The sequence below is a fragment of the Homo sapiens genome, chromosome X (genome assembly GCF_000001405.40).
Source record: "Homo sapiens chromosome X, GRCh38.p14 Primary Assembly".
NCBI classification, from domain to species: Eukaryota; Metazoa; Chordata; class Mammalia; order Primates; family Hominidae; genus Homo; species Homo sapiens.
In genome coordinates, this window is record NC_000023.11 from 129321371 (window position 1) to 129328639 (window position 7269).

Here is a 7269-nt window from a genome sequence, read left to right on the forward strand (position 1 = left end):
ACCCCAATCATCATCCCCCACCTTCTAGGGCTGCAATGCCCTAAGGTTGACTAAAAAGTCATTGCCACTTGTTACTGGCTTGGGAAGAAATAGTTTGTACTTGCTTTGTGAACTACCTTAGCAGAAGACTAGTTGAGATCAAGTGAGATGATGATCACATTGCACCAGACAGCCCACACCCAAAGTATCTGTGTGCAGTTGTGAGCACAATATGTAACAAGTAACCTTAAAAATTGTAGTGTGTCCAGAAAAGAGCAACCGATATGATTAGAGGACTTGGAGTTTTGGCCTTTTAGGACTAGTTGAGAAACCTAAGGATGGTTAGCCACGAGAAGACTTAGTGGGAAAACATTAGTACTGTTTTCAAACCTTCGGAGGGTTATTTTTCTTTTTTTCAGGTTCATTGAGGTATTATTGGCAAATAAAATTTGTATAAATTTAAGATGTACAACATATTTTGACATACATATACATTATGAAATAATTACTACAATCAAACTAATTAGCATATCTATCACCTCACATTTCTTGTGTGTGATGAGAACACTTAAAATCTACTCTTTTTTATTTTATTTTTTTATTTTATTATTATTATACTTTAAGTTTTAGGGTACATGTGCACAATGTGCAGGTTAGTTACATATGTATACATGTGCCATGCTGGTGTGCTGCACCCATTAACTCTAAGTATATAAGACCTTATTATCTATAGTCACCATGCTGTACATTAGGTCTCCAGAACTTATTCGTCTTATAACTGTGAGTTTGTACTCTAACCGGTATCTCCCCTTTTCCCCGAGGTAACTACACTTCTCCTCTCTGTTACTACACTGGTAACTACACTTCTCCTCTCTGTTACTATGAATTTGACTTTTTAAAAAAAGATTCCACATAATAAGTAAGATCATGCAGTGGTTGTCTTTCTGGGTCTGGCTTATTTCACTTAGCATAATGTGGGATAGTTACTATTTGTAATAAATTACTTAATCTGGGTGGCTCCAGAGAACAAAGATGGGACAATTGGCATGACTGACGGCTAAAAAAAAAGAAAGTAAAAGAAATAACTTTCAAATATTTGCAGCTGTTTAAAATGGCGTGGGAACAAAGTAGGGCAAGATGAATCTTCTCAATGAAATATTCTGTTTACAATGTTACCCCTCCCATAGGGCTCAGTACGTTCCCAGAGTCTGGGAGTCAGGACCTTGAAACAGCATGCTTCCACTAGACACCAGACCCTCAACCATCTGGCTGTGAAGTCTCTGACTTTTTTGACCTATTAGATGAAGAGCAACCCATCTCTGAGCAGAAGAGTCAACATCCTACAATAAAACTTCTTGTATTTTTTTTTCTTAGAAACTTCATATCATAGGATCATAGGACACTGGAGGAAAGGAACCCCTCAAATCATCTAAGCCTTCAATTAAGTCCATAGTTCAGACCCTGTAAACTGAGGATGCCCAAGAGGGATGCAGAAGAAACACTTGTGGACAATGTGATATCTTACCCCATCAACTGTGATCATCTTGACTTTAATTCTGTACACTCATGAATCCCTTCAAAAATAGAATTTTAACTTTCTTTGTGCCTGTCTGACAGTGTCAGTGGTTTTACTCTTTGTTTCCTCTAGCATATTCTATCAGCTCACTGGAGAGCCAAGCTGGGTTGTGGCCAAAATCATAGCATCAACTTTTTATGTTCTACAAGCAAGAGTCTCTGACACAGGTAGCATAAATAATGCTCCCCATAGCTCCTGCTGAGCTAGGGCTTTTCTGAATTATCTCTCATGCCCTTCTTTCCACTCTTCGTCCATGCAGTATGTCGCAAGCTTCCCCCAGCCCCATTACAAAGGGCCCCATTGCAGGTGTAGTAGCTCTAAACCTACTGTTTACACCACAGGAAACCAAAGAAGTAGATCTGTCTTGCTACATTTTTCACCCACTTAAGTAAGCTGAGTCACTCCATATTGGCTCAGAACCCACTGCACAGTAAAGAGGAGAAACTGGGACGTTATGGCCTCTTCTACCTCTCTGAATTTTTCTCACAGTGCAGACCTCAGAGGGAAGAGCTTTTCTCCTTACACTTTTGATTCTCCAAGCCTGGATTCTGATATGCTAAAAAGGAGATTTGGGTAGTTAGAAAAATCTTCTCCTAATAATGTATAGCTTTCAAAATATTTTCCTGGGATAGAATTCTATTTTAAATGTCAAAAGCTAAAAGTTATTTATTTATTTATTTTTTTTTTTTAGAGACAGACTCTGGCTCTGTCACCCAAGTTGGAGTGCAGTGGCACCATCTCAGCTCACTGCAACCTCCATCTCCCAGGTTCAAGAGATTCTCATGCCTCAGCCTCTTGAGTAGCTGCTATTACAGGCATGCACCACCATACCTGGCTATTTTTTTTTCTATTTTTAGTAGAAACGGGATTTCACTGTGCTGACAAGGCTGTTCTCAAACTCCTGACCTCAAGTGATCTGCCCACCTCAGTCTCCCAAAGTGTTTTCTTTCATTTCTTATTCTCCATCTGATTTCCTTAGAAGTAAATGGATGTCTTAAGCTAAGAAAAAAAATGTACCCCAAAATGCAAACGGAAAATCATTTATGTTTTTTCAAATAATTTCTTATATTACATGTATTATCATTTATTCAGTACTATTCATGCTATGTGCATTTTTATTTTTATGTATATGAATTTTATATATGCTATAACACTGTACAAGTCACGATTATTTCAAAAGTACTTAAGAGAAACCCAACTCAAACTATTTAAGCAAAAACAAAAGTGGGGTGGGGGACTCACAAATTGGAAAGTGCAACAGGTAACCTGCTTCAGATACAGGAGGATTCAGGAGCACACTTCTCTCCCCTCAACTCCTTTCTGTGCATTGGGTTCATTCTGTAGACAGATTCTTTCCATGTGCAAGGGAAGATGACTGCCCACACCTCCAGGTTTACATGCTCCCAGTTTAGAAAGCCAAACAGAAAAAAAGCTTATATTCTCCCCAGCACCCAAAAGTTAATCCAGAGAAGGCATCTTATTGGTCATGCTTAGATCTGGTGCCAACCCCTGGACCAATCACTGTTGCCAAGGGATAGATATTATAAAAGGCCCATTCTATATTATATGATTATCACTATAGCCAAGGTTGAGGGGCATCATAATTAACAACCCCACTAGGATCACATGGAATGAGGGAAGGGACAGTCCCTCAAAGGACACAGAGGGCTGGACATACCAAAACATCAGATTTCAACTTTACAAACATCACCTCAATCCTTAAAATTCCTTAAACTTATTCTCATTTAATTCAAGTAAGCTAAATAATTTTCTCAAAATCACAGTCGTATAAAAGAACAGGAATCTAAAGCCAGTCTTGACTGATTCACAATGCCCTTGTTCTTTCCACTATATCTTCTACTTTTTTAATGCCATCCCATCCTTGAGTGATATCCAGTGCCTTCTGCTTCCATTCTTTAACCCCAGTCAAAACATGCTCTGAAATGAGTTGACAAACTCAGTCATACTCAGCTGTCTGACACTGAGTGACTGAGATTCAGGTATTCCTCCGAGGGAAAATTATAATTTAGCATTTATCAACTTTGGGGAGAAGAATGACTTGACAATTAAGGAGATTAATTTAAGAGTCAGACAGACATGAATTGCCTTACCTCCAACACTTGCTAGGTGTGTGATCTTGGGAAAGTTTTCACTTTGAGCTTTAGGCTACTCATCTATAAAATGGAGATAATAATTCATAGGAAAACAGAGATGTTGTGAAGATTAACTGAGTTTGTTCTGTTAAAATGCCCAGCCCAGGACCTTTCATGCAGCTGATGTTAAATAAATATTCATTTTTCTGCTATTCAAAAAAAAATCCAAGTTTTGTTATTAACCTATAGATGAGGGAAGTTCAAGGAGGGCCAAGGGCCCTTCTTCTTCCTCTGAAATCATATCATATAAATGCCTTATATGTGTATAGCTTTACCACCTTAATTTTTTTCAAGTATCTTAGAGCTCTTGATCATTTTAACAATGCATCAGGGAGGCAAGGCAGGCCTTGTTAAGCCCTATTTCACTGATTAGAAAACACAGGTTCTAAGAAAGTTGAGTCACTTTGCTAAATATTACTCAGCTAATACCTGAGATAACTGGAGCCAGAACTGAGAGTTTATGTCTTCTAATCCAGAACTATCTTCTGGTGGATAAGATCATGTCTCTTAGTAGTCATGGTGTGGGAGAGAGCCATTTCTTTTCTATTTCCCCACATGGAATTTTTTCTCCTCCTCCCATTTTACCTACCACTAGGTTGCCAATGGCTCACCCAGGTTAGAGCCAAGAGAGGAAGAACAGGTATGGAACAAGATAAGTCTTACGTGACTGGTGTATAGGGTTCTCCAGAGAAACAAAACCAATAGAATATATTTTTTTCTATTACGTACATATATTACATATATAATATACTGTAATATGTACATATAATATTATATATCCAATATACTTGTTATAAGGAATTGACTCACCTAATTATGGAGTATGACAAGTCTCAAGATCTGCAGGATACCCAGGAGAGCTGATGATGTATTTCCAGTCTGAAGGCCAGTAGGCCCAAGACAAGGAAGAGCTGATGCTTCAGTTCAAGTCTGAAGACAGGAAAAAATTAATGTCCCCATTTGAAGGCAATCAGGCAGGACGAATTCCCTCTTACTCACAGGAGGGTTAGTATTTTTATTTTATTCAGGTGTTCAACTGATTGGATGGGACTCACCCACGTTAGGGAGGGCCATCTTCTTTATTCCATCTAGGGATTCCAATATTAATCTCATCCAAAACACTCTCACAGATACACCTAGAATCATGTATGACCAAATGTATGGGCCCAGTCAAATTGACACATAAAATTAACCATCACAACTGGTAAAAGACGCTAGCTGATCTTGGTGCATTATGGATGTGATGAATTCTTCATCTTATGAGGCAAATACATAGGTTCCTCAGAGATAACTGCTGAGGCCTTTCAACTTGTTTTTGCATGATGCATTTTCTCTGGCTGTCAACTTACAGTTTCTACCCTCAGTTCCTGGGCATTGGACTATTCCAGCCCACAGACTCTCCACTGGGACCTACCATGAACCCAGGTAAATTCAATTATGCTTGGGCAAAATTCAAAATGGCGCCAAGCAATCACCTTCACATGTGTTTCAAATTTGGTCACAGACAATACACATTCTTGCCCTCTTGTCAGTGAGAAGCAATTTACTCTGTATGTAGCTTTTTCTCTCTATAATCTTCCACTCTAGTTCAACACAGCCAGTTTCTCTTGCCAGAATTTATGCAGCCCCCTCAAACTCCAGGTTCACATGCCAAGCTCTCTTAGTGGTTTTACTAAAGCACCCTTTCATACTTGGCTTAAGGTGAATGATAGAACCTTCTCTCTTCCTCCATTTTAGTGGTAGAAGAAGTTGCATAGTACATCAATTTTTCCCACAAAAAATTGCTCTCTCGGGCTCCTTCAGTCTCGATACATTAATATCTTCCAGGTGTGTGTTTAGATATGCATCACAAAATCAGTTTCCTACCACCCTCTTTGGTTAAGATGGCAAATTTTATGTTATGTATTTTTTATGACAATCAAAAAAATTTAAAGACAGAGAACATAGAAACCCTCGGAGCCACTGCCATCCCAATGAATTTAAATTTAGTCTGGGGCTATTTGTCATGGTTTTGTCACAGGTTCCATGAAGAAATTTTTTTACATACAAAAGTATAATTTAAAAACTCACTTCAGTGAAACAAAACAAAAGGGCATCTCCTTTCATTTCATAGTTGGTAACACTGCTTTTTGTTGTTGTTGAAGTGATATATTTCCCAAAGCAGGGTGATTCTGTCTTAAATGTCACCCCATTTGGAACTCACTTCCTCTGCAAATCTTTGCTTCTAGTGCTTCTCAGCTGAGTGCAGTGCCCTCAGGGTCTAGTGAGTCTCTGCTCCATTGATTTTTCCCGTACCAGAAGGTCCACCTGAGGGATTGGCATGTGACTGATTTATTGCTGTATTACCAGCACCCAGCACAGCCTTGCCAGCACAGCCTTGCCCACAGGGCAAGGAGCTCAGGCAATGTTTGTTAACTGATCATTATAGGAAGAGAAAGCTGTGTGTTTAATTTACTCAATGACAATTAGGGGATGGTTCCCTATCCTCCAGGAATTCAGTGTCTACTTGGGAATGTTTTCTTTCCCTCATTATAAGATCCTGGAGATCAGGGCCTGTGTTTTAGTCATCTCTGTATCCTCATCATCTAGCATAATTCTTGGCACACAGAGTTCCCAAACTGGCCCACGTAACTACTCCTAATGGCAAAGGAGAAGAGACACATATCCGTAAAGGGATATGGGAGACCTCATTTGAAGTGCCCTTCACAAGCAGAAACTTCTTTTTTTTGTAAGCGTTTTGTGTGATTATATTATTAAATTTTACAGCAACGTTATTAGGTGCAATTATTATTCCCATTTTATAGGCAGAAAAACTGAGATACAGATGTTAAAGGACTTGTTCATTCTCCCACAGCTAGATAGGCTGCAAACCTAGAATTCAAACTCAAATTGAAATCCAAACTACAAAAATAAATCCCCAAAAGCAATACCGATTTCAAAATTCTGGTATGTGGTAGGTGCTCAATAAATGTTTGTTGAATTAATGAATGGTTCTGAAATTATTTTTTTCATTTTTTTATTATACTTTAAGTTCTAGGGTACATGTGCACAACGTGCAGGTTTGTTACATATGTATACATGTGCCATGTTGGTGTGCTGCACCCATCAACTCATCATTTACATTAGGTGTATCTCCTAATGCTATCCCTCCCCCCTCCCCCCACCCCACAACAGGCCCTGGTGTGTGATGTTCCCCATCCTGTGTCTAAGTGTTCACATTGTTCAATTCCCACCTATGAGTGAGAACATGTGTTTGGTTTTCTGTCCTTGCAATAGTTTGCTCAGAATAATGGTTTCCAGCTCCATCCATGTCCCTACAAAGGACATGAACTCATCATTTTTTATGGCTGCATAGTATCCCATGGTGTCTATGTGCCACATTTTCTTAATCCAGTCTATCATTGATGGACATTTGGGTTGGTTCCAAGTCTTTGCTATTGTGAATAGTGCCGCAATAAACATACATGTGCATGTGTCTTTATAGCAGCATGACTTATAATCCTTTGGGTATATACCCAGTAATGGGATGGCTGGGTCAAATGGTATTTCTAGTTCCAGATC

The 7269-nt window shown here is 39.0% G+C and overlaps 1 long non-coding RNA gene across 2 annotated transcripts in view; it reads right to left on the minus strand.

Moving 5' to 3' along the window:
- LOC107985684 (uncharacterized) overlaps positions 1–6718 on the minus strand; it is a 32370-nt gene extending 25652 nt beyond the window's left edge. The window contains exons 1-2 of one of the 2 annotated variants that reach the window (XR_001755960.3): positions 4519–6718; positions 3667–3729 (exon numbers count right to left, since the gene is read on the minus strand). This is a non-coding gene — a long non-coding RNA (uncharacterized LOC107985684). Of the gene's footprint in view, positions 1–3666 lie in introns of both variants that reach the window. The other variant, XR_001755961.3, reaches the window with a different exon arrangement.
- Positions 6719–7269: the final 551 nt, after the last annotated feature.